The sequence below is a fragment of the Homo sapiens genome, chromosome 6, assembly GCF_000001405.40.
Source record: "Homo sapiens chromosome 6, GRCh38.p14 Primary Assembly".
Classification (NCBI taxonomy): Eukaryota; Metazoa; Chordata; class Mammalia; order Primates; family Hominidae; genus Homo; species Homo sapiens.
This window is the reverse complement of record NC_000006.12, coordinates 53802884-53829778: the sequence shown is the minus strand read 5'-3', so window position 1 is coordinate 53829778 and position 26895 is coordinate 53802884. Positions and strand designations below refer to the sequence as shown.

At 40.8% G+C, this 26895-nt stretch overlaps 1 protein-coding gene across 4 annotated transcripts in view, besides 2 other annotated features; it reads right to left on the bottom strand.

Moving 5' to 3' along the window:
* Window positions 1–26895, bottom strand: part of LRRC1 (leucine rich repeat containing 1) — a 129121-nt gene that overhangs the window by 94347 nt on the left and 7879 nt on the right. The window lies entirely within an intron of this gene.
* Window positions 15034–15328: a silencer, noted in NCBI's record as "tiled region #10889; HepG2 Repressive DNase matched - State 8:EnhW, and K562 Repressive non-DNase unmatched - State 24:Quies". NCBI's record gives its function as "represses a minimal TATA promoter and a strong SV40 promoter by Sharpr-MPRA in HepG2 and K562 cells {active_cell/tissue: HepG2 | K562}" and the evidence as "EXISTENCE:reporter gene assay evidence [ECO:0000049][PMID:27701403]".
* Window positions 18525–18574: a silencer, noted in NCBI's record as "silent region_17295". NCBI's record gives its function as "represses an Ori minimal core promoter by ATAC-STARR-seq in GM12878 lymphoblastoid cells {active_cell/tissue: GM12878}" and the evidence as "EXISTENCE:reporter gene assay evidence [ECO:0000049][PMID:35858748]".

The window sequence follows — 26895 nt, the reverse complement described above, 5'->3', positions numbered from 1 at the left end:
GTTCTCGGTAAGCTCCCAGGACAATTTTCTGAGGTAGCTCAGTGGTACCAATAGCTTCTTTGCTACCACTTCCCCAAGTTCCTACTCCTAGCTGAGAGTCCAATTTTTTACCCAGATTTGTATAATAAAAGGAAACAAGATCACCCGTGTCATGACTCACTATGTCGTATCATTAGCACCAACCAGGGAGAGACCATGTTCTGGTACCATGGGCCCCTTTTCTCTCTGGAAAGCACTTTCCACAGCCTGGTATTCCAGGCCCACAACTCATCAAAGATTTCCTTTAATGAAGAACATCTCATATGCGTGAGTGAGAGCAATTTAACATTAAAATGATTTATTACTAGACAGGTTTTCAAAGTCTAATTTCAAAAACTTTACAACACTACTTTTTACAAGAACATCTCTAAAATAATGAGAAATGCCTCTCAAGTGCCAGACATTAGGCCAGGCACTCTACATACATAATCTCATTTAATCCTAAAAACAACCCTGAGCCAGGCAGTTACTTTGATTTCACAAATGGTCCAACTGAAGCACAGAGAGATTACCTGCCTGGGTCCAGATTACATAGATGTGTCTGTGCCAGGATTCAGACTCATGTTCAAAGTCCCAGTATGTCTACTATAAAGAGCAAGGCAAAGAAGGTGCACTGTGGAGCCCAAGCTCCATAATCCCAACTCCCCAACAGTTTACTGGCTGTTTGTGTGACCTCATACAAGTTACTTAATACAGTAAATACAGGTTTTCAGAATAGTGTGTGGCATATGAGAAATGCTTAATATATGTTAGCCTTAATTATTACTATTAAACCACCACATACCACATCTTCCTATATATCCAAGTTACTAAAGCTTTTCAAGAGCAAAAATATTAGATCTAATGATAACACCTTGTTGCCCTTGGAGTGTACTGGTAGGATGAGGCTAAGTGCTAAACAAGAATCATGCCAACTTTTAAGACTTCTTTCATTTTCAAAAACAGAGAAGGACCACAAACAAAAAGATATTATAGCAGAAATCAACAGACTGCAGGGACCAAATGTCTAAAGGGTCTCAGGACTGATTAACAAGTCCAGCAATCCAATCTACCAAGTATTCAAGCTACTATCCAAACATAGCATGTAAATTTAAAGAAATGTTTTTCATACTAATCATCAAAAACAAAGCAACAAGTGAGCTAAAACATACATGAAAGGAATGGAAGGAGTTCAGGGAGGCTCAGCATCTTACTGCAAAGTCAGTCAACACTGAATGAAGGGTGGACCTAAACTGTGCACAAAAGGAACACAGGGTGAGAGAGGAGGCCTAGATCCTGCCCAGGAGAAACAGCTGTACATATTGGAAAACGGAGACAAGCCTGGCTAGGCCAGCCCCTCCGGCATCAGCCTGCCTGGCTCAGAACCAGATGGGTGCTGCCCTGTGACAGGGCTCCCAGGTCCTAGCCCTGTGAATAACTAACAGCAAAGCTTTGAGCACCTAAGATGGCAAATGAACTCAACTAGATCTCTGTGCTCCTTTCCAACATCAACAGCCTGTGATTCTCTAATTATGAAAATAAAGGAAAGCTGATAAGACAAATTACCCATGTTTCTTTTTTTTTTTTTTTTGGCCTTTGAACTAAGGGCCTCCAACTCTCCAATGGGTTCTATTCCAAACATCCATTTCTAGGTCAGAGCTAGAAGCTCAGAATGCACTTCCACATGCATAGGACCATTACAGATTGTGATTAAGTCTTTAAGTAAGCCTATAAAAGTCTGCTCAGCCCCTAATGCAGCATAAACAGGTCTTCTCAAAGCTTTCCAATAGCTATCCACTAGTTATAGAACAAAGCACAAGCTCCTCAGTTTCACATTCAGGGCCCTCATGACCTGGCACATAATAATAACACCATCAACATTTTTGTAGGTTTTGAGAGCTTATAAAATGCTTGCTCATATCTTACACTAGCAACACAACTGCCCAGTGAGCAATCATTATCACAAATTGAACTTTGAAAGACAAGGCATGGAAGGTATCAGAGCCACACCTTCAACAAACCTCTCTGGCTTCCAGTCCAGTGTCCTTTCTAACTTCTGCCCCACAAATATCCATGGCCTTTCTGACTCCATTTCCCACACCCACAGGCCCATGCACCCCATGTTCTGGCACCAGTGAATCATTCACTATTCATTATGCCTTTCCTGTTCCTAACAACCTTTCCCCAGCTAGCAGCATTTTATTCATCCTCAAATGCCACGACCTCTCTGAGGCCTTTACCCAATTACCTGGAAAAAATTAAGGTGATTCTCCAACGCATTTTGCCTCTGCTCCTTCAAGAGATTAATGAGCCCCCTGTAGTAATAAACCATATTATACACACTAAGGCATCCCTCAGAATACCCGCCACAGTTCTACTCAATAGATATTCAATGCTAGTTGTCTAGTGAAGTAACATGACACTACTTCAACTGTTTTTTTTTTTTTTTTGTGGAAGTGTTTATTCGATTTCATTTTAAGTTCCAACTCAGGATATTTAGAGTATATCTATGCTTTGTAAGCAACTTCATTCCCCACCCTCACAACCTCTAGGCTGGAAAATGGGCAGAGAGAGCAGCTTTTGGGTCAGAAGAGAAAGAACCAAATCTGCCACATTTTAAGAATTACTGAGGCAACTGTTAAGCATAAGAATTCTTAGTGCATAATCTCCAGGCACAAGGGTTTGGGAATATGATTGCTTAACAAATGTTCCCAGTTAATTCTTATGATCAAGCCAGGTTTTGGAAACAGTGGGTAAGATCACTGGGTCCTAAGCCTGGATGCACATTAGAATCACTTGGTTTAAATATACCTTATGCAAGTTGGGCCAAGGTTGGGCAGGTGGGTCAAAACATGCATTTACAATAGAGGCATTATAGTCACCAAGGAAAGGGAAACTAATCGGGGGAGGAAGAGTGTTAAAAAAAAAAAAGTCTCAGCTATTAAAATGGTTTGTGTTTGTTCAAAGGGCCACAGTATATATACAGATATACAGTACATCAGTGGTGTTAAGATTTCATAATCGAAGGGGAGATTACAAAATGTATGTCTAAAGAGGCATGGAGGGGGACCTAATGAAAATAAGGTTGAGGAACTCTGGGTTAAGAAGATGAAAAAAGTCAATCACTCTTGACATTTGCATAAAAGATGTCCCCCTTATCCCAAATACTTGTCCTACAGTTGCTCTGAGTTGAGTAAAGATTTGCTAACTGAGAAACAGTTCAAAGATAATATGTACATGAATGCTAGAGGCTAACTGCACATGGGCACCTTCAGAACAGGGCACCTTATCAAATACAAGCTTTTAATAGGTTATCTATGGAGAGTAATGGGGGCTCTTTGTCCTCCTTTTGTGGTCTCTCTTGGAGGATGCAGTGGGACATCCTTTATTATTTCAAGCTGGCTTGGAAAGACTGGGGAGGTTCCTCTATTAACATAAACCAAAATTAGGCTCTAGGTTGTAAGAAGGCATGGCCTCTTTGGGTTAAAATTAAAAATTCAGATCCATTTCAAAAGGAACACCTGGACAGCTGTGATCAGGAGTCCAAAAAAAAAAAAAAAAAAGGCAGATATGTGGAGGAGACATAAAGATCATGCCTCAGCAAGCCCACACGTAGGCAGGGGGCTGGCAGGAGTAGGTGGCAGCCCTAGCAAAAGGATGCTCTGACCTAGTGTGTTCTTTCTAGACACACTAGAAAGATGGGAAAAATGGTCATCACAGGCCAGCAACGACAGGAATGAAAACTGTGACCATGCCATTCCTCTGCTTGAAAAATCTTCAAGGACACTCAGCCAGTAAGTTACTCAAATGGGTAAAACAAGCCAACAATAACCACAGAAGGAAAGTGAAAGAACACAGCAATAGAAAAAGAAGGCAATAAAAAGCACACACCATAAAAAGACAGCATAAAGAACAATCAAAAGGATATAAAAATTGTAATTTCAGAACCAGAGAGTAGCTTAAAGATTATCTAGTCTGTGGTTCTAAAAGATGGACCATCACCTGTTCCCCACTTAACGCCTACAAACCAGTTCTTAGTCTGCTGCGTTATCATCAGACTCCTGGGCCTAACCCTCAGAGTTTACTCAATAGGTCTGCAGTGAGGCGATGCATTTCAGTTTACAAAGTTCTCCGGGTGACTCTCATGAACAGCCAAGTCCGGGAGGCACTATCAACTTTGGAGGCAGCCCCCTTCCCTGATTCTACAACCCCAGGAACCCAAAGCACACTTATAATGTTTATAAAATCCTTTATTTCCCATACCAATGACTTATCTGCCAATTCCCAGTGTTAACTTTCAAAACAGTGGCAGTATAACACGAGAGGGAGGGGCTGACATGGCGCCCCAGTCTCCTTGGTCTAGCAGGACTGACCACTGCCCACATTAGCAGGCTCTTACACAATTACATCTTTAAGGTAAGGCAGGCAAATTTTATAACTTGGTCACTTTTCAAAGATGTATTCCTCTGCCTAGACCTACAAAAACATCCAAAGTGCACACCTCCATCATTACATAGTCAATACTTGGAACCTATTGCCATTATGAAGTACACCTAAAAAGCACATGAACAAAATTACAAAGAAAAATTCCATTATCTCTCCCCATGCATGGTTTACCGGCAACACTAAGTAGTGCAGAGGACACTGAAACACACACTGGAACACACCCAGACAGCAAGGCTAGTGATGAGATTTGGAAGAGAAGATTTGCAGGGAACATCAAATGTCCTTTGAATATGTAGTCTGTTATATGGTGAAAGAATTAGACTGGCGTGGCATGGCCAAATACCAGAAAACTAATGAAAGAAAAATGTTCCCCTACATAGTGAGCTAAAATGTGTCAGGGTCCTCTGGGGATACAGTGAATTCCCCATTCAAGCATGGGCCAGGTGACCCTTTAGTATGGTTTTATCAAAGGAACTGAAAAACTGGATGGTTGATCTACAAAGTACCTTCTTGACCCTAGGATTCTACAAGCTCAGTTTCCATGCACATTCCCCTCTTCCTACTCAAAATTTACCAAGGTTCTTAGATAACAGCACCTGATATGCATTTTGGCCTATAATTAACTAGCACCAAGTACAGCATTTGCATGAAGCAGAAAAGCAAACCTCAGGTTTTCTGGGGTCATAAAACAGCATCCAAAATTCAAGTTAACTGGAAGACAACCTTGGCAATACCATTGTGGACACAGGAACAGGCAAAGATTTCATGACCAAGACACCAAAAGTAATTGTGACAAAAGCAAAAATTGACAAATGGGATCTCATTAAACCAAACAGCTTCTGCACAGCAAAAGAAACTATCAACACAGTAAACAGAGAACCTGCAGAATGAAGAAAATTGTTGCAATCTATGCATCTGACAAAGGTCTAATATGCAGCATCTACAAGGAGTGTAAACAAATCAACAAACAAAAAAAAACACCATTAAAAAGTGGGCAAAGGGCAACGGACACTTTTCAAAAGAAGACATAAATGCAGCCAACAAGCATATGAAAAAAAAGCTCAGCATCACTGATCATTAGAGAAATGCAAATTAAAACAATAATAAGAGACCATCTCACACCAATCAGAATGGCTATTATTGAAAAGTCAAAAAATAACATCTGCTGGCGAGGTTGTAAAAAAAAAAAAGGAACACTTAAACGCTGTTGGTGGGAGTATAAATAAGTTTAACCATGTGGGAAAGAGTATGGCGATTCCTCAAAGACCTAAAAACAGAACTACCACTCAAAGCATCAATACCATTACTGAGTATATAACCAACAGAATATAAATTGTTCTATCATAAAGACACATGCAAATGTATGTCCATGTCAGCACCACTCACAATAGCAAAGACATGGAATCAACCTAAATGTCCCTCAATGGTAGACTGGATAAAGAAAATGTGGTATATATACAGCATGGAATACTCTGCAGCCATGAAAGAGAATGAGATCATGTCCTTTGCAGGAATATGGATGGGATGGCGGCCATTATCCTCAGCAAACTAATGCAGGAGGAGAAAACCAAATATTGCATGTTCTCACTTATAAGTGGGAGGGGAACATATGGACACACAAAGGGTAACAATAGATACTGGGGCCTACCTGAGGTGGAGGGTGGAAGGAGGAAGAGGATCAAGAAAAATAACTAATGGGTACTAGGCTTAATATCTAGGTGACAAAATAATCTGTACAACAAACCCCCGTGACACGAGTTTACTTGTATAACAAACCTGCACATGTACCCTTGAACTTAAAAGTTTAAAACAAAATTAAGGTTAAAACATGATGTTACAGTCCCTGGTTAATTAGAAGAAAAATAAAGGAAGCATTGACCAAATCAGGTAGAAAAACCCTAGCACTACTTTTCATGAGTATTAGAAAGGAGGAGAAAAGAAAGCTTTTGCAAGGCAATTATCAACTTGTCTTTTTCATAAGGATCCATGCTGCAATATATTAAGTTCTTTAATAAGGGAGTTCATGTAATCCCCTCATGAGTTACAAAGAACTTTTAAATATGAAATTTTGATTCCTATCAATATGGTCCATACTAATAGGAGCTTATTTTCTTTTTAAATTCAAAAAACAAGCCTCACAGAAAAGAATAGCATTGTGACTGGTAATGACATGTCTGAGTGAAAGGCTCAGACCAATAGCAGCCTATCCAAAACTTACACTCCAGAGTCACAGTGAGGATCAAGGGACCTGGAGAATTTTGAAAACCTTAATAGCTTAAAGTTGGGAGATGTGTCCAAATATCCAAGCTATTTTCGTGTATTTGTGATGGCTCAGCTGGAAGAGCTGCAAGGACGGTATCATATGACAGCGTTTGCTCTGACAACCCTTTCCAGGACGCGGGAGGGCTTACACCTTAACTGGACTCAGCCTTCCTCACTCATGGGAATATGCCTACATCTCCCAAGAATATACATTGGGGTTAAATGTCTATAAACAGTCACAGACAATGAATTCTTTATGTAGCTGTTCTTCCCCCACATTATGAAGGAGCATATTCCACCAGGACCAAGAGTAGGAAAAAACTGAGTGAGAGAGAATTTAGTTACAGTCAGTGAGATTTCAATTCTTTGCCAGTGACAGATGAGGTGGCCATTTGTCTGGTAATCCTGCGTGAACCAGTCAAAACGTGAACCAACCACTTCACCGTCCACGCATTTATCAGGGCCTGGCCTAAAGCCCAGCAACTATATGAGCACTGGAAAACTGACCCTCCCCAACAACCTTTAGTAAGACATGCTTTCACTGCTCCAAGTCACTTATTTATGAAGATAATGGAAATGCCAACAACTTTCCTGGCTCTCAAAATGCTAACGCTATCCTCCTGGGTTAGTCTATAGCAACATTGATGGAATAAAACTCATATTACTTCTCTCTGACCTCCTCCCTTCCAAGGGTGTACTTCATTAAAATGTACTTTCTCTGGCTTCATATGGACCTTTATTTTAGAGTTGCCCATCTGTTTAAACACTAAAGAAGCAAGTATAAACCATGTTCCTTGGTCTTTCTCTGGCATCTGAGCCTTCACTATTGCTGTATCCTCCCCAACTCCTCTGCATTTTTCCTCCCTCGATTGCTATGTTCTTCTTGTCAAGGATCTGTACTCCTTTCTAGCCACCTGACACTTTAAAACTAGAGGAGCTATTCTTACAGAACCTAGAAATACACAGCTAGGGTAACAACAAAGAGAAACTGTCTCTCAGCACATGACAAGTACAGTAATTATATTTTCTTTAATAAGTTTTATTTCAAAATCACCACTGACAATGCCTAAATGCTTTTGACTGATACCATTCAAAAATCAAAAGAACATAACAACCTCACCACACTAAAAAAAAAAGAGAAAAACAAACAGAAAAGGAAAAAAAAAAAAAAAACTAGCATTACTAGCATTAGAAGGCAAAGCATTAACCTTCAGGTCCTTTCCAAAGTCAGTCTCACAATGTTGCATCTGTAAATGGTCCAAAGCGTTGCTGAAAAAAAATTCCCTTAAAGTCATCTTTCATAGTGCAGGAGTCCTAAGAATCTGAGAAAGGCTAACAGAGAACAATAATCTGGGAAGGGGACAAGAGAAAATGTATTAAGAGGAGAAACTCAAGTGATTACTTCTCAGATAATAATCATGATCATCCAATATTCTAAGAGCAAATGAGGATAAAAACAGAGAAGCACTGCCATCATAAATCACGCACACCTCATTGTGCAGAGGAGGCCCTCCATGACAGGCACTCCTGAGTCCCTGAGCCAGGTGACTTAGCCATTAGGCATAGAAGGCACAGTGCTGATGGCCCATGATACTTTTCAGGGCCTTCAAAAAATGTTTTCATTTATTTTAAAATCAAAAGAAAAATAAATATAATAATGTGTAAAAAGAATATTTGTCTAGTGAAGTAATAAAATATAACCTATAAATTTTTTAATGGAGAAAGGAGCCCATGAAGGCAAAGTGCCTATGCTAGGACCCAGAAAAGTCATATGCAGCTCTGTCCTTAGAGAGAAAGCAGATGCTAGCAAGGCAAGTTGCTCAAGATCCAAGGTGGACACATGAGAACCCACAAAGCATTCAAATGATGTACAGCATTAGCGCAAATGCTTTTCTGCAGTGAGAGCTGAACAGTGAACCCTGCATATTACAATAGGCATAAAGGAAAGGAAAAAAATAATGTTTTGCTTTCAATTTTTCAAAGAAAGCGTGGTGTAAGTGACATATTCATAAGTGCTCTCTGGAATAATAAAGAGAGAACAAGCTGTGGTACCTGAATAAAGAAGAAATAAGTCAACAAGTTCTTGAGATCCTCCCATGTGCTTGGCACTGTGGAATACTACAGTAGTAGCCCATAGTGTTCCCATAGTAAGTGCTGACATTCTAGTGTGTGGCCCTGTTCTTTTTTCCCTTTAGTCATATCTGCTTCATTTTTAAAAAATATTTACTAAGTTTTAATTTTACTACATGTACACTTCAAACACCAGAAAACTAAAGAAAGAAAAATGTTCCCACTTTTCTAAGGGACTTCTATATCTTATTACATATATTACATCACAAATAATTTCCCATGTCCTTAAATACAACATCTGGAATTCACTAAGGTAGGTGATAACCTGATAACCTCTTACAGTATCCTGAACACAATGGAGAAACATGGGCTGAAGAATAAAATGGGGGCGGGGAGGTTAAAACGTGTTGAACAATCAAAGGCGATTCACAGAATGCTAATTAGTGGGCTCATGACCTGATGATCTGCTTGTCGGAGAGTATGATGCAGGGCTTCACACTGTTCAATATTTTAACTTGTGAATTTGAGTTACTGATATTGACCAGCACTGTGCCTACCATGTGCAAAGCTCCATACTAGATGCTGTACACACATTGACTTACCTTACCCTTTTAACAAGCCTGTGAAATAGAGACTTTTTTCCACTTCACATCTAGGAAAGCATATGGGGATGGAAGCTCAAAGAAGTTAACTTGCTGAAGAGTATACAGCTAGCAAATGGCAGAAGTCTGAATTCAGTCTCCAGCTTTTATTTTCTTTCCATTGGATGGACATGTTTATTTCATTTTCAGGGTTCCTGAAACTAGCCAGTAAGTTGTATGTAAATCAACTGGAAAATGATCTCTTTAAAGGCAGCTGCAATGAAGCTAATGTGCTAATCTAATGAGATTAAATTTAGACCTGAAAAAGGTGAAATCTTGCATTTAAATCCAAAAACCCTAACATTCTGTACAGAATCATGGAGACCTGGCCCAAAGGCAGCATGCATGAACATGCTGGGATGGATTTAACTAGAAACTCAAAGTGAATCCAAGAGTTATACATACTAACTGAACTATAAACTCAATATGAATCCAATAGGTACACATATATATTCACATGCTCTAGGACTGCATTCATAGAAGTATTAAGCCCAGGATGAGGGGAGTGACAGTTATCTGCCCTGGCTAATAAATCTCATTTGAGGTAGCACATTTTAAGGACTTTGGTGAAATGTGGTATCTCTGTAGTAGCATAACCAGACAAAATAAATGAACTAGAAAAAATATTTAACTGAAGATGAATTTATATAGAATAGGGTAGGGTGAGTTCATGAATGGACAGGATGGCGGCACACATCCTTCAAATACATATAGAGTCTCCAATGTGCTCTTTTCCTTCCCAATTGACTTTACAATCCTGTGGTCCACAAAGTGGAGGTTTTTTACTCCTTTACAGATGTCCAAGCAGACAAAGTACCTCCTCATTCCAAGACTAAATATTTTAAGTTTCTGCTAACAGAAATTTAGGTGTTTCCCCAGGGCTTACTATGTATTCACTTAGTAAGTATTTAGTCACTTCTGTGAAAAGAGGGTAGGAACATAACGTCTTCTTTAAGTACTTTTCAAGGCCCTTAAATGACATTTACCTCCTCCTCCTCCTAGTTCTACCTGCCAGAAGCATACATCATAAGGATCATAAGATAAATGTGATGGGCAACAAAGGGCTGTGTTAGGATGTAAACCCAGAAAAGATACCCGAACTTCCTTTCTCCAAAATGCCTATTTTTAACCTTCATCATTGCATCATTCTGCCACTTAATTCACCTTTCTGACAAGACACTCAAGTTATCATCTGACCCTTAATTGCCTCTCTCTCTTCCACAGCTCTTGGCATTTATAGTTTCCGATCCCATAGAGCTTTAACTCAGGCTCTGATCATCCCCCACATGGGTCAATGCTACTGCCTCTCCAGTCTCTCAGCCTGCAGTGCAGTTAACTGTGCTGTGACCCCCACAGTCCTGTACTCTTATGAGGGTCAGTGCCTCCCTGACAACTTGAAACCCAAGGTGCATTCATTGTATTAAAGCATTTAGCTGCTCTACATGAGTTCCTATGCTCTGCCTTGAGTAATTCACACCCCAAAAAATAAAAGCATTTATGAAATGAAATGAAATGAGGTTAAGTATCCACCACCATTTCCTAGAAGTAAAAGGAAGTAGATTTGGCAAATCACCTCAATTACCTTGATGCCTATTCTGGAAAAGATTCAAGGACACATTTTTTAGAATTTTAATTTAGAAAGCATTTTTTACTTAACTCCTTTCCCCTGTTATCTTTCTCCATGCTCATACCATTATACATAAACATCCAGTCACATACAGAGTTTAGCATTGTTTTGTAAAAACAGAATCTCATACAATCTTATCTGCCTTTCTTTTCTTACATAAAAATTTATCAAGAAAGTTCCTCTGTGACAAATAATAAAACTTTATTTAATTCTGTAAGGACTGCACCACAGCCATAGTATGTATGTACCATAATTTATTCAACAATTTCATTGACAGGCATTCACTGTATTTCCTTTTTCTTTTTCCTTTCTTTTTTGCCACCACAAAAAAATGCACTATTGATATAAAAATCCTTCCATTTCTATCTTGATACACTGGTATTTCTATTTATAAAACAGAATGCCAGAACTGGAATTATTAGGCTAGATTTTTAATTTTAATAGATAAGACCAGAATGACTTCCAAAAAAGCCGTATCATTCACATGTCTACCATTGCCCTATAACCCAAAGGTAGATTTTTTAAAAGATAGCCTGTGTGTATACAAGCATTAATATAGATTATTTCTGGAAAGATGCAAAGGTAATAAAAGAGTGGCCTTCTCCTTAGAAAGGAAGCACAGACCTGGAAAAGGGATGTAAAGAAAACCCACTTTTCATTGTACGTGCACCTTTTGTGCTGTATTCATGTCTTACCATGTCCATATATTACACATTACACATGCAAAACATAAAATGCTCTTTAAAATATTTGTAGACATTTCAAAAAAAGTGCTGATCATACAGCGCACATAGCACTGGCTTTATGCAATTAAATGATATGAACTTAAAATGCATAGGATGTAGCTTGATCATTTTTTTTTAGTACCTACATTACTGTAGTACCCTAGATTCTAGGGATACAAAAACTGAGGCAATCTGCAGCAAGGAGAACACTATGTATGGTAAGTAAAATAAACAAAACACAGAAAGACAAGTACCACATGTCTTAACCCATTATGCCTATAGTATGTGGAACCTAAAACAATTCAGTTCATAGAAGCAGAGGGTAAAATGGTGGTTACTAGAGGCTGGAGGTAAGGAGAATGGGGAAACGATAATCTCCATTCTTAAGGGGGTACAAAGATAATCCCCATTCATTCTTAAGGGTACAAAGTTTAAGTTAGGAGAAATAAGTTTGATTTTTTTAGGTCAGTTGCACAGCATGGTGAATAGAGCTAATAACTGAGTATTGCACATTTTAATATCACTAAGATAGAACATTTCAAATGTTCTCATCACAAAAATGTTAAATATTTGAGGTGACATGTTAATTAGCTTGATTTAATCATTTCACATTATATTAAAAAATCATAACATCACTTTGTACCCCACAAATATATACAACTATAATCTGTCAATATATAATTTTTTTAAATAAGAAAAAAATGAAGACAGTCCCTTCCCTCAAGGAGCTCAGAATCCCATAGACAAAAAGACCTGTGTGCCAGATATGCACAGTGCCAGATGGCAGCTATGATGCTTGGGTGAAGGATGCCCCAGGGCTCATGAGGGAGCCAGCTAGGTGGTATGCAAGTGGGTCATCAGACAAGTGTCTCGGATTGAAATTAGGGGCTGTAATCTTAGGTGGGGATTATGGGTGACCTTTTCTTCTATGTCTTTAAACATTTCTACATTTGTCAAAGTTTCTTAAAAGGGCATCAATATCATGTCCATAATTGGGGGTCAAAAATCTCTTTCAAAAATATCAGCTGAAATGAATGTTTTTAGCTCATAAATTGAGCCACTAATTAAAATTTTGGCTATCTTCTTTGTCTTAAGTGAAGCTAATGTGTTGAAATGTTTTAAAGGGGGAAGAGAGCTGGATTTTTAGCGGAGGTTCCGACTTTCAGATTGTTCGGCATATACGAAAGTATTCACAAGTTGCAGAGGAATCAGAAATACAAGGAAAGAAGAGGTGTTATGCACATTTTTTATCCTTCCCTCTGCCCTCCATGGGGTTATTTTGAAAGAAATATTCAGTTTACAAAGTATCCTAGAAAATATATAACACCTTGAATAAGAAACTTTAACCTGTGATTTATATATTCTGATTGTAAGAAAGCTACATTTAAAGGCAACAACTAAAAATATTGCCCTGTTTTGATTTGGGTAACTCTAAACCAACATAAAAAGGCTTTTTACTGATTTCTATAGTCACTTGGCACTTAGCATTTCCATCTCAGTGATTTCTCTTTCCCATATGTTTCTTTCATACGAGATTCAAGAAGCTTTTGACAGAGATACCAAGGGCTTCAATTCTAATCCTAAAATATACCTATATATTCTGTCACGTAATGAACTCGGAATTTTTAACGTATAGTAGGTAGAGAATATAGACCCAACATCTATTTTATAGTCCAAGACTAAATTATCCTGAATATAATTACCAAGCCAAGAATCAGGAAATACATGAAACAGAAAAAAAATGTAAATTTTGGTACCATGCTCACTATAATTTATAAACTAAAAATACCTAATAAATAGCCCAGTGTCAAAAGTATTTAAGATTAAAGCCTCTTTTACTTTTTTAAAAAGTGCCTCTGAAACTGGAATTACATTAGACACACCTTCATGCGTTTGCCAAAAGAGCTCACGTTATAAAAGTAAAACTTTCTATTAAAATTTTAAGTGATTAGCAAGAAAAGAATGCAGAGTTATTCCACTTCAAAAGTTACAAAGCAGAGATGAAAACTAAAAGCAGCAACATGCTTGGGTACTCGTTAAACCTACTTATATCCTGGATACAGGAAGCATTTTGTTTTGACAGCAGTATGGGCCAAGACCAAAGTATTATTTTTCAGTGTTAGCATTAAAAACAAACAAAAATAAAACATTTTTAAAAACCGGCCTGCCTATCTTCCAGGAAGATCAAGATCATATTGGCCAAAACAAAAAGTTTCACAGGAATGACTATCTGTGTACAGTGAACTCTTCACAAGTGAACGCAGGAGGAGAGAGAACTTGCTTAAGTTTGTCCACTGAAAACAAATGCCCTAAATTCCCTACAGACTCAACATGAACAGACCAAATCTTACAGTCTGGAAAGTCTCTGGGCCTTGGCAGGACAAAATTATAAACAACTGTCACCACGTTTCAATAAGCTAAGAGGAGAGGACTGGACCTGAGGCAGGCTTTGGGTACTAGTTCCTCAGGACACGCTCACTGTGTGTGCATATGCAAGTATGTGGAGAAAAAGGCCCTAAAGTGGAGGGAGAAAAGAGAACAAGAGAAAAGAAAATCTCAAATAATGGCCCAGGAGGAGGCCCAAGGAAAACTCATGACCTGGAGCTATATGCCGTGCCTGATGGAACCATCATCCTCACTTAAAGGTGAGAAAAATGAGGCTCGGAGATGACAAGTAGCTTTGCTAGATCATATAACCATTAGAGGCTAGAGATAAGACATGAACCTAGGCCCATTCAACCCAAAGCCCACTGCCCCACTGTTTCTCATAGTGTGGCCCCAGGACCGTCAGCATCAGTCACCTGGGGCACTAGCTAAAACTACAGATTCCTGGTCCCACTGATGACCCCCACCCCCACCCCAACATAATGGGTGAAATTACTGGAAATGAGGCTCTAGAATCTGTATTTTTTAAAAGAACTCCCCAGGTGCTTCTCATAAAGAATCAGTCCAAACGACTGTTGTGCTCCCCGCAACAAGTGACCAGCCAAAGAAAGACAGCCTAGTTCCTTATACACAAGAGGCTCGGCGGTGAGCCTGGTTTACATGCATGTTGTTCAACAATTATGCAGCCACCACACAGCCACATTCACATCATTCTTTAAAATCATCACTTAGGGAAGCCCATACCCTAATATTTCCTCATTTACAATATCCAGAGCTCAAAGGGCCCAGAAAGACAGTAATGCAGGTTTCAAAGTCTATCTTAGTATTTCAAAGGCCAATAGAAATTGCACATTTATCCCCTAAAGACCAACCAAAGGTCTAACTGAAATGTCTGAAAATAAGAAAATTTAACGTTAGCTTAATAAATATAGCATGTCTGGAAGCAAGGTTTTCAAAGCTATGCTGGTAGCACATACTCCGACCAGGCTGCACTATGCAAACATCTGTGCACCTTCTTGCTTGGACCAACCTTGGGGACTCACTGCTGAGTAGAACAATAGACACTGTGTCAGTACTTCATAGTCACTTCTCTTATTGTTTAGACTTAGTTCTTAGTCTGCCTCAACCATCAAAGGTAAATACCTTCAAAGAAACAAAGATTTGCAAACACCAATAATGGACAGATATGTGTAGGTGGCATGAGGATAATTCCCAAAGAGGTTCAATGGTGTTTTGAAATTTGAGTAAAACCCACAGAGTGATTAATTTAAGGGCAAAATATGCATTTGTATGTGTAAGCACCTTTTTATCTGCTAATTTTTTTTAAAAAGTTTCACTACCATCTAACAACAATTCAGTTAATTCACTGAGTTTAAAAACTAAGAAAATAGAAGATTTTACTAAATAAATCAATACCACAAATATTTGACCTACACATTACTTTAGCCAAGTAAATTGAGCTGAATCCTATGAAAGATGAGTTGGAGTTAGAGAAGTAAATGAGCAATGAAGAGAAAAGGGAGTAGAGAAGAAAATGCTGTAAATAAGCAAAAGAGGAAGTACGAATCAAGAAACAAACCATGAGAGCCAAAGGACACTCTGTATAGAGGAAAGGAGCAAGGATGCAAGGGTTTCAGAAGGAGCTAGCAAAATTTCCAACACAATCTGCAGTTCCTTTGAGCCACAGGCTTCAGATTACCATCATTACCTATTAGCTGCTACTGAAAAACTAATTTAGCTACTTACTTAGTTCCTTATCTTTAAAACCTCCAAGCCAGATGAGATGACCAAGAAGGCAAGGTGTTTCAAGACTATAGAATCCAATTCAAAATCACCTCCCCACTTCACCCCCTGCCACAGTCCTAGGACCTGTCAAGGTGTCCAAAGGTCAGAGGGTGCAAACAGGCAGCCCGCAGAGTCAAACCCAACCTGTATACCTGATTCCTACAGCTCACAGTGCATTTTCCAAATTGTTGAATCATTGTCCATTTTTAATTACTGAACACTTAAAAATCAGGAAACTGCACGTAAAAACTGATTTCCAGAAAAAAAAAGAAAAAAAAAAAAACCACTGAGCCAGGCAGTAACAGCAGGCCCACCTTCCAGCTGGTAAAGTTGGGCAGGGGCAGCTGTCCTCTGTAGAGGGGGCATGCACTCTCTGGTTTGCACAGGTTTGTCTATAACTAGCCCACCCTATCCTACAATTTGCCCACTTGGCGCTGCCACAGGTATTTGATTTTTTGGTCCCTCATGGAGCTGATCCACCCAGCAAGCAAGCATAGCAACTCCTGGGCTTCCTTAAGGGCAATGACCACCACACCCCTCCAATCCACACAGTCCACTCCTGAGTCACACCCCATAATATGGCCTCACTCACAGCTGCTTCCTCTTATGAATCTTCAACTCCAGTATCCTGGATCTGGCCATGACCTCTCCCATGGCCACAATCCACTATGCTGCTGTTCCATTTTTCTTTCTGCCCACCCATTCCTTCTGGAACTCCCTTCTCTCTCTCTGTACAGCATCCCAAGTACCTTTTCATCGGCATCCTCAGTGGCCCCATCCCACCCTCTCATCCAGCCACTCCCTATTCCATAGGTAGAACCAGCACCCACAATCCACCTTTCTCTATTCTAAGCCTGTATAGTTGAGCACTCTAGAGGAAAAAAAAATCAGAAGCCTGGCACCACCAAAACTTCATGCCAACCTCAGCAATGCCCATTAGCTCCCCCTCCCATTCCTTTCTCTCACTACCCCCAAGGCACCCCATGCTCCACCTCCACCTCCCTCACCTAGCAGACTGCCCTATCTCATCCTGAACTGAGAAAACTAAAGCCAACAGGTTTGATCTTTTATTTATCCACAAGCATCCTTCCCCTCTTTCTTCAAATTTTTTTTTTTTTTTTTTTTTTTTTGAGACGGAGTCTTGCACTCTTGCCCAGGCTGGAGTGCAGTGGCGCGATCTCGGCTCACTGCAAGCTCCGCCTCCCGGGTTCACGCCATTCTCCTGCCTCAGCCTCCCGAGTAGCTGGGACTACAGGCGCCCGCCACCACGCCCGGCTGATTTTTTGTATTTTTAGTAGAGACGGGGTTTCACCGTGTTAGCCAGGATGGTCTCGATCTCCTGACCTCGTGATCCGCCCGCCTCGGCCTCCCAAAGTGCTGGGATTACAGGCGTGAGCCACCGCGCCCGGCCTCTTTCTTCAAATTCTGAAGGTGGTACCCAGTCACTCAAACCAATAATTCAACTGTTATCCTTCACTCCCCCAACCACCAAACTCTCGGCTTCAAATCCAGTCAGTCACTAAATTCTGCCCTGGTTTGCTTTCTAAATATTAACCCTATCTCCTCCAGTCTTGTTCCCTTCAAATCCATCCAAAAGCTGCCATTAGGCTGAGCGCTCTAAATCAGTGTCTAACAAGACACTCCTCTCCCTACAAAATAGAAGCCAAACTCCTTAACCTGGCATTCAAGGCTGCCCATGATGGGGCCTTATCTCTTGACACCTTCTTCTTAAACCCCATGCTTCCAACAACACTTGGCTCTGGGGTGCCCCTGCCTGTGCATGCAATGCCCTCTACCTCCAGGAAGACTTTGCTATTAGCTTCACAACACAGGCTCACCACGACCTGATCTGCTCAGGTGTCAAGGCAGGCACTGTGCACTCACTTTTGCATCCCCAGTGCCTAAGGCACACAGCAGGCCATCAATATGCATTCACTGCATGACGATTTCAAAGGTGCCACCCAATCGACAGGGCCTGTCAGATTAGTACCTCGCATGTAAAAGCCTGCGCCTTTGTAGTCTAGCAGACCTGGACTTAACCCCAGCCCAGGCTTCTCCTAGCTGAGTGTCCCCAGGCAAAGTGCTCAGCCTTAGTTTTCCCATCTGTAAAGTGTGACTTAAAAAAAATCCTCACACATAAGGCTGATGTGAGGGCAGGACAAAATCTGTTTAACTGCCTAGCTGTACATCTGGAATACTGTATGCAGCTAATAAAGAGCTGCTATTAGTATTTTAAAAGTTACAACTGAGGTTTTAGTCAACCCTTCCTATCCTGTGTGTGAGCAGCTCAGGCCTTCTCTTTTGAGAGAAAGCTCCCTGCCTTTTGGCCATTTTACTCCTCATTAACACCCCAACTAATAGACAAGTGGGAGAGGAAACGTCCTTCTCTCAACATGACTAATGACATATTATCTTTCTGTGCTACTGTTGACCCTCTGCCAGCAGGACATGCTGACTCAGCCACCATCGTCACCTGCCTCTCAGGTGGATAGCAAACAAATGTGAACATGCCTAGCTGGGGCCAGAGCTGTGGTCTGTAGCCTACAGAGTTCCTCCTGAGACAGACGCCTGTCTCAAACAGAAACTAAAGCTGTGCTCCTGTCATCACTGGGCCCTCAGAATAACTCACTATGCCAAGGCACTAAAACAGAGTGGTTAGACACAATGAGAATGTGGACATATCTGAGGAGTTACGTATCTAAACTACTCCATACAAAATATATTTTTTAATGAAAAAAATACGCTTTTTGAGCATTTCTGTGATTAACGCACTGAATTTCCCAATGCCTGGGGTAGAAACACATAAGTAAGTCCCTGATGATAAGTTGATAGAAAACAAACAGATACACAGCTAAGTCCTGTCCTGATGAATCTCATTAGAAAAGTAAACCTCAAAGGCTGGGGGAGCAGAGACGTTGACAGATTGGAGACCTGGGAGGGTTTCACAGAGAAGGCGGCACTGACATTGGAGAATAGCATTCTGAGCAGAATGGACAGCACCAAGAAAGGCACAGAGGCTGGGAGAGCTAGTCCTATCACTGAGTGACAGAAAATTAACAAGTTAGAAACTAAGTGTATTGATCACTTTAATTTTTATTATACCCTATTTATGTATGTTTTTGTTCTCTCAAAATTTCTCACACAAGAAGTGAGAATAAAATCTAGGGAAAATGTCTACGTGTAAAAGCTTTTTTTTTTTTGAGACGGAGTCTCGCTCTGTCGCCCAGGCTGGAGTGCAGTGGCCGGATCTCGGCTCACTGCAAGCCCCACCTCCTGGGTTTAAGCCATTCTCCTGCCTCAGCCTCCCAAGTAGCTGGGACTACAGGTGCCCACGACCACGCCCGGCTAATTTTTTGTATTTTTAGTAGAGACACGGTTTCACCATGTTAGCCAAGATGGTCTCTATCTCCTGACCTCATGATCCGCCTGCCTCGGCCTCCCAAAGTGCTGGGATTACAGGTGTGAGCCACCATGCCCAGTCGTAAAAGCTTTTTTAAGAATACTTTGAAACAGAATCATTCCTGCTAGAGATTTTTCCTGAGCAGATGGTCCTTATGCTTTTGGCAGAAGACATAGGGTTAAACGAGAGACATAACATTTATCTACTACTCCCTGACGGGAAAGAAGGGTGTCTGCAAGAATCAGGCAGGCTCTCACTGTCTGCCTGCCTTCCTTCCTGCCTTCCTTCTTGCAGCAGACACTGCACAGTGCCCACCCCACACTCATTCCCAACCTCTTTTTCCAACTATTCTTTGCCTACCTGCTTCCCGCTACAGAGTCAAAATTTAAAATAAAATAAAAAAGCCAGACACTGTCACTGTCAGCCTTGCTGGTGGCCAGGGCTGGCCTGTGACTCTATCTATCCCTTTCTTCTCTGCTAAGGGTACCACCACAGGACCAAGTCACGGGGAAGTCATACAAGCGCCCAGCACTGCCCCTACCTTCAGGCTTCCTGATGTGTGAGATAACTAAATACCTGTTTCATTAAAGGCATTTTAGGTTGAGATTTTTGTTATTTGCAGTCCAGAGTATTCCAGATACATTCCTCTGTCTCTCTAGGGCTGAACCCTCCACTAAGGGGAAACTACCAGTGAATTGAAACCACAGAAGTTACCTGATGCTTCTCTTGGACCAGATTTACCTTGTACCTGTATCTGAAAATTGAAATAAACATTTTAGAATATATAAACTTTTTAAAAACTAAATAAAGTACACAAGTAAATATCTTCTGCTGTATTTACCTTACCAAAACCACCTTTATACAAAATTTCCTTTTAAACAGTAAGTTACCAAAGAGGGATGGTGACTGGGTTGAAGAACAGAGATCTGATTCGCTTTGCTCCTGTCCCCATGCAATTTCAGTGAATCACTATAGTTACCAGCGGTGTGGGGCATAAATAACACTGCCCCCTTCCTCCTCCTGCCATTTTGCAATGAAGTTATCAAAAATCAAGGTATGAGAATAAGTGTAATATGTTATAAGATGGATCTATTGTAAAATGCTTGTTTTCCCTTAACTTTTATTAGCATCCATTTATAACAGTACTGAAATATGTATAGTTCCAGAAAGCACATTAGAGCCTCTTTATAATACTGACCTTTACAGTCAAGACTAATGATTTCCTCATAATCACTTGATATGCTTTGAGAACAGGAAAAAATAGTATATAATAGCTGAATAATTATGAGCAGACTTATAGTTGGAGTGCTGCTATGAGAAAACAAATGCTCATTGCTGTTCAGAGAGCTTCCTACTGTTTTCCCAGACGGATGTGCTTTGACTTTAAGTATGTATATAAGGATTCAGCTGTTAAGTTACATCCTGAAAGTAGGAAATCCAGCACCAAAGAATGGGTGTCACTAATCTTTGAAAGATTATGTTTGAATCAGCTCATTAATATTTAGTGACCCCTTTCCTTAAATGATATTGCAGCTCAGTGCTCTTTTTCTTTTCATTTATTTGTTTTTGAAACAGGGTCTCACTCTGTCACTCAGGCTTGAGTGCAGGGGTCATGGATGTCTCTCTGTTCCCCTTCACAGAACAGATGCAACTTATGGCTCATCAGGTGGCTTTTGGTGCAGACAACACTGTCTCCCCATGTCTGACCTTGAAGCAGGAAGGTCCATGATAAGGAACACTGGATCTGGAGCTAGACTGCATCACTTCAAATCACAGCTCTGCTACTCTGCTTAGTAGCTGCTTGGCAAGTTATTTACCCTCTCCATGTCCCAGTATCCTCATCTGTAAAATAAACCAGTTTATGTGAAATATAGCTATGGTTGTAAGGATTAAAAGAGTTAATCACAGGAAGTGCTTAAAGCAGACTGAGGCACATTGCTCATAAAATGCTGACTATCATTATTATAATTATCAATTACCCAGGTTTCCTCTCCTAAATTCTAGGTCTCATAAAAACTTCTGCCATGACTCAACTCAAGTACTTTGCAGTTCCTATACTGCAGTTCCCTTTTCCAGTCCTCCCTAAATCAATAAATAATTCTGCTACCCCCTCCCCATCAATACAACCAAAAATCTACATCCTGCAGGTATTGTCCACTTTACCCCCAAGCTATCTCACCATTTACTGCTACCACCACAGTCAACGTCACCAGCAGCACTTCACTAGAACCTCTCAATAAAAGCCCCCTCTCCCAGTCTCCCTGCTTCTTCTCTTCCTATCATCTAATTTCTAATCAGCAGGCAGAGTGAACTCTCTAACATAAATCAGGTATCTCATAGGCTTATGATCTGCCACACTTCAACTGATGAAAACCCATCCACTCTCCTTGCCAGGCCCTCCAGGCCCTGCCAATATCCTCACCTGGATTTCCTACTGCCCATGCCAAGGGCTCCAGCTGCACTAGCCTTCTTTCTGCCCATAAACTCACCAAGTTCATCCCCAAGGCTTTGCAGGAAGCTCTGCCATATTTACATGGCTGCCCCACTCCATCGATGCAAATGTCACTTCCTTAGAGAGGCCTTAAATAGAAATCTCCATTTGCATCACTCTCTACAGTACTTCCTTGTTTTGGGGGGTGTTGTTGTTGTTGTTGTTGTTGTTGTTGTTGTTGACGACACGGAGTTTCACTCTTGTTGCCCAGGCTGGAGTGTAATGGCGTGATCTTGGCTCACTGCAACCTCCATCTCCCGGGTTCAAGCAATTCTTCTGCCTCAGCCTGCCAAGTAGCTGGGATTACAGGCATGCGCCACCACACCTGGCTAATTTTGTATTTTTAGTAGAGATGGGGTTTCTCCATGTTGGTCAGGCTGGTTTTGAACTCCCAACCTCAGGTGATTTGCCCGCCTCAGCCTCCCAAAGTGCTGGGATTACAGGCGTAAGCCACTGCGCCTGGCTTCTCTGTTTTGTTTTCTTTATAGCTTTTGTAACTACCTGAAATTCATATTTTCTTATCTGTTTTCCATCCTTACCTAGAATGGAAGCTCCATACAGACAGAGATTTATTTGCCTTTCTAGATAGAACGATGCCTGAAGCACAGCCAGCACTCAACAATAAGCATGTGGAGTGAATGAGGGAAGGAGGAGGGAGGGTCTGTCAGGATCCGGCAGAGACCCATCCCTAGTCCCCATTCCTGAACCAAGATGTCTCTGAAGCCTGACACCAACATCCCATCAGAGAAGCCAGCTATTCAGGAGGAGACTAGAGAGCTGTAGCCTTTGATCCTAACTTACTCCTTGCAAAGCCACCTCAATCTGATACTGACCCATAGATATTTCTAATGGTCAGTCCCCAAACTGTTTCTCAAAATACAATCTCTCAGGTACTAAAATCAACATAAAGGGAAGTTTCAAACAACACCCTCTGAATTGCTTGAGTTCATTTAATAAGGACACAAAAAAGATCCCAGCCAAATTCAACCATTTTGCCTCATTTTGAAAAGCTGGGAAAATGCAACTGACAAAAGAGAAAAACTTCAGTGTTCAAAGGTTGTTGGGGGTGAGGGAGTGAGTGTTTTAACCAAAGAAAATCTGCTGATCTTTTTTCCTTAATTGGTTCTGGGAATCAACAACTGACCACAGGAGGGTAAGTGTTTGGAACAGCTTTTCCTTATTATCAAATCCTTGATTATAATGATTAAGCCTAGATTTGTGGTTCTACTAAACCTCATGAAGCAACCTCACAGAGTATGTGCCCAACTGTAGCACCACTCATCAAAGGTTCACTCTGGGACATCAAGTCATAAAATTAGCATCAGAGAGGGTCAACACACAGAGGGACTTTGCTGACACCACTCAGGTAAGGAAACTGAGGCTCAAGAGAGTATGTGATCCGCCCAAGGTCACAATGCTAGTGTTGGACAGGACCAGGACAAGAACCCAGCGCTGACACCCAGGCCAGTGCTGTTTCCACTCCATCATGGTGCCACCCATACACACAAGGACTATAGACTGCCCGGTTCTTCATGGTGTCATGTTCAAGCTCTCCCTCACAGGTCTGGTTCAAAGCCATTACTAAATCCACTCCCCAAAAGGGCTGAAAACTTCCCCCAAGATGCCCTTCAAATATGTATTCAAGGTCTGCTCTGCACCAACCACCCTATTAATAAGCAGCAGGAATGCAAAGAAAAGATGTGTAGCTTTAAGAAACTCGCTCTGATGAGGGACAGAGATAATTATAAAAATGCAACGATAAAGTCAGAAGTGTCTCCAGAGACCACAGAGGAGATGGGAGGGCTTCCTGCAGGAATGTTAGCTCCAGAGGTCTGTCCAGTTGGATGAGGAGCAGTGAGACAGGCAAAGAAGTGGGAAGAGTACTTCACCACAGGCGGAACTACAAAAAACGAAGACTAAGAAGCATGAAACAATACATCAGCAACTAAGGGCAGCTAACTGGGGCTGAAACACAAGGCTGAGGGAAGGTGAGGTGGTGGGGGTAGGCGGAGCATGGCATGCCGCCAGACTGTATCCTGCTGGTGCAGGGAAGCCACCACAGCAGGCAATCACTGTCACATCTGTGTCTTAGAAAGATCATTCTGACCAAGTATTGAGAAAGGATGTGAAGGAAGCACAAATGAAGGAGTGTGGGCCTCTACCACAAAAGTCAGTATTGATAACAATGATCAGACTGTAGTGGGTACATTCTATCTCCCAGATACTGTTCTCAGCACTGTCTACAGAGTAACACATGTAACTTTCATACAACTTCATGAGGTAGGGACTATTATTACCTTCTTTTTACAGATGAATAAACTGAAGTACAATGAAAGACTAGTTACCTATCCAAGGTGTCACCATGAAGAGGACAATCTCCTAACAACTATGTATACTTCATCTTCAAGTAAGAGGATCTGGCCTGAGTGGAGACTTCAGTAGAAGAGACTGAGGTGGGGGTGCTGATCCATGCAGACATCACAAGTTAATGACCAAGCTTTGTGTTCCCAAACATCCTGCACACCACCCTGCCCTCTCACTCCAGAAAGAGAACCGAGTCAACCCAGAGTAAGAATCTATGCTCCAAACACAGCATATGTCACCTCACAAAAGCTCCCCGTCTGCAATGCCCTCCTCCCTTCCCAGCCTGTCAAAGCCCGGCAGCACTGAAAGCCGGAGTCCTGCTTTCCTACACCTCAAATGCAACAAGCCTCTGACAAGGGCCCATAGCATAGCAACTCTTGGCATGCACATTCATGTGGCAAGTATTAGATGTTAGTCGTCCAAAGATCTGGCACAAATACCTGCTCAACTGACTAAAGCCTACCCGAGGCCTTTTCCAGACCTACGGAAAAGAATTGCACTCAAGAATAATGGGCACAGAGATAAAAAGAAGAAAAAAAAAAGACAGCCTCTAGGCCTATTTTTCAAGATCTCACAAGGATCACAGGACTTGGGTGTCAAGAATCGGGAATGTGTAGCCCATGTCTTTATTTTCCTTTAATACATCACTTTACCTCTCTAGACTTTAGCTTTTTAGGTGCAAAACGACAGATTAGATTTGTGTAATCTCTAGGCCTCCATCCAACTCTGACTAAAAAACTGAAAATCTAGCAATATTTTGTAAAGTACATATCCATTGATTCAGCAAATATGCTTCTTGAAATGTATCTTAAAGAAACATTTGCACAGGTATACAAAGTAATAAATACAAGAACTTTTAATTCAGCATGGCTCATCATTGCAAAGAATTAGAAACTATTTAAATATTCAGTAATAGGAAAAGAGTTAAAAAATAAATAACAGTGCTATATCCAATACAATGGAATACTATAGCACTCGCAGTAATGCTATAATACTTCTATATACATCGATATGAAAAATGTCCAAGATATGGTGTTAAGTAAAAAGAACAAGCAGCAAAACAATTTATATAGTGGGAGTTCTATTTTTGTTTTAATAACAACAAATACATGGTGATATAAGAAGAAGAAACAATCCATTAAAATACATCCTAAAATCAAAGGGAATTTTAAATGTCTTCACCACAAATAATAAATATGTGAGGTGATGGGTATTTTAAGTAGACTGATTTGATCATCCCACAATGTACACATGTATCAAAACACTATGTTATACCATATACATGTATACAATTATTTGTCAATTAAAAATAAAATAAAAAAATTTAATACAATCAAATTGTTAACGGATGATATCATTTCAAGGAAATCAAGTGACTATTCTTTCTTTTTTGTTCTTTGAATTATTTTAAGCATCCAACACACACTACTCTCATAATAAGATAAACACAAGACAACACCATAGCCAAGGTCATTTGCACTAATAACATGAGCCTCAAAGGCATTTATTCAGCATCTTCCAGATCAAGTCAAGCAGTCAGAGCCCACATCACATCCTGAGAGGTTTGCAGCCCCTTTCTGGCCCTCACAACTGCTCATTTGACTCAGGCGCCTGGTTCTCACAAGCCAGTGGACAGCCCTCCAGATTATCTCTTCCCAAGAAGCGGGGGTGGACTGCGGAAAGAAAGGTGACTATGGTGGCCAGATGGACAGAGTCCTCTCCATTCAGCCACACAATCAAGGAGTCAGTCTGGAACATGCTGTAATTAGGTGTAACACCACCTTCCACTTACCACATGGCAAATCCATTCCTTGGGGTTTTTAGAAACAAAAACACCAAATTTCTTCCAACTGAGTCAACTTCCCTGAAATCTAAACATTATAGTCTAGATCAAAATAATGAGGAGGGAAAAATTTTAAATATTACATCTTATTTTAGGAGTCCAACGTATTTTACACTACACACACACACACACATACACACACACACTCTATTAGATCTTCTAAAATACCACATGCAATAGTAAATTACCATTCCATTCCTGTCCACTAAATCATACCCAAGAGAAAGTTAATGGACATCCAGAAGTTTCTCCTATGCATTTAGGAAGATCTGGCCCATGGTCTCATCACCCCTCAGAACTATCTTATGAAGCAGAGGGCAAACATTTCTAGCCCTGAATCCTGGGTAGAGTCCTAAAATAGGTGAACTTGCCCTAGACTTCAGTGAGCACAGTGAGAAGCCTGCAGCACTCACTGGATCCTCACCCAAAAAGAACACGACATCTCATTCCACGGCACAGCAAGACCATGTCTGGGATCTGTCATCATCGCAAAGAAATGTTTACACTGCTATTTCTGATACTCTTGTGTAAATCTCAAGAGTGGCTTACTCCTAAAATCTCAAGTCTGTGGTAAAGGGTCCGTTTTAAGGAAATCCCAAGTACCTGTTTGTTACAGTACAGAAGATGCAAAATTCCGGCAACGGGGGAAATTCACTGGAAGCCTGTGAGGTGGAGTCAAAGTGCTCCTTTTCCGCTGGGAGCCCCAGGAAAAGGGAACTGGGGGTTGTGGAAGCAGGCTCATTTTGCTGTTTTACCATACTAAAAGCATGACTCTATCTTTGTCAACTCTCACAAAGTTTCATTAAGCAAATGGTTTGTTTTTCTCAAGGACTTGAGC